Raw genomic sequence first — 1,722 nt, 5'->3', positions numbered from 1 at the left:
TATTTAGAGTCATTATTGTACAGATACCAAATCCCCATTAAAAATAAACTGAACTTCTCTGTGAAGGTTCTCATGGTGCTGAGAGGGCACCATCACTCTGAGTCCCTGGTGTAGTGGGCTGCGGGCTCCCCTCAGCCCCCTGGTTGCCCTGCACCACACTCCGCATGGCATTCTGGCTCCAGGAATAATAGCCAGTTGTATTTATCTTACACAGGAGCATGACTATTTAGGCCCAGTTTTCCTGGGAGGTGCTGAGGAAGGATTTTGCAGCTGACCAGCTGCACCCTGGGTGAGGGATTTGAGGGGATCCCATGCTCTGAGGAGACCTGTGCCAGTGGAGCCTCCTGGCGCCGGGGAGCCTGGGCCGTGGTGGAGGCCTGGGAGCTGAGGATTCATCTTCTCATTCTTTCCTTCTCCCCACGATGAACCACACCTTCCTGGAGCGGCAGTGCCCTCTTTTACACTCACAACCAACCCAGCCTTTCAAGTCTGTCTTTTAAAGGGATCACCTTGACAATGCAGATAAACTTTTGGAAGAAACGGCTGCATACTTATTTGTAGATCTCCTCAGAAAAGGAGCTGGAGGGGCTAACATATTTATATGGCCAGTGAGCGAGGCATTAGATCCAGTGTTAGGGCACAAAATTATGTCTGTCCAAGTGAACAGTGTGTCAAGGAGGGGCGGGCCGAAGTGAGATGTAAAATATTGTGCATTGAAAATATCGTTACATTCCCAAAGGCTGTATACATTTTGTGGGTTACTTCTTTATGCAGCACATTCTTATTAAAATTTACCAAGCCATCAGGGGCATTAAATAAGTTCTTACGTAGTTGTGCTTTTCTTTTTCTGAAAATTTTAATGCATCCTGAAGTGACAGTTGTTCAGTGAAACAGGGTCCCTCAGTGCCCGTTATGAGTGATTCAACGCTAATTAGAAATTGATGAAGGTTCATTTTGTATGTACAGTTCCCAACTTTTAAAAACCCTAATACGTATTTTTAGGCCTAATGTTCATGGGATTTGATGGGGAAAGTGCCGCGTAGCTGCTACACAGCAGGAAGGCAATAAGGCACGGAATGAATACTCGCAGACAGGGCTCGCTTCGGCCTCCCGGAATTGTGCAATCAGACACCACGTGAATATCCAGCGCGGCTCCTGATCTCTGAGCCCTGGTGGCCCGGGGCACCATCAAGTCTACATGGTCTTGTCAGTACCACTGCGCTCAACACAGACAGCACGGCTCTCGCAGCCACTGCTGGGTCATTACAACGTACGACTTCCAAGAGCCAGAGAGTACTCCGGTGACCTTGGAACTTTCCCCAAGTACCTAAAGCACAACCAGAGCATGGGTGTGTGGGAGGACACTCGCTTTCCATGCTGCACCTTCTGTGGCCACCGTTCGCCTAAGGGCAGCAGGATAAAGATGGTAAGGAATTCAGCTCTTCGTGCTCGACAGATCTCAGTCCTGTTTGGATTTTACATAAGCAACTATTTCCCTGCATATCAGCCTCACCATCCTCTGCTAGGATTCATGGTCCTGCATGGTCTGGCCCCATGCTTCCTTTTGGTCCTTGTTTCCTGATTTTCCTTGCTGTGGGTTGAATTGTGTCCCCCGGAAGAAGGTTTGGTGAAGCCCCGCCCCCTGAAGTCTATGGATTGGAACTTGATTGGGTCACATTGGTCCAGTTAAGCAGAGTGATCAAGTTAAGATGAGGTCATGTT

Source organism: Homo sapiens, chromosome 18, assembly GCF_000001405.40.
Source record: "Homo sapiens chromosome 18, GRCh38.p14 Primary Assembly".
Lineage (NCBI taxonomy): Eukaryota > Metazoa > Chordata > Mammalia > Primates > Hominidae > Homo > Homo sapiens.
This window is presented reverse-complemented; position numbering follows the sequence as displayed.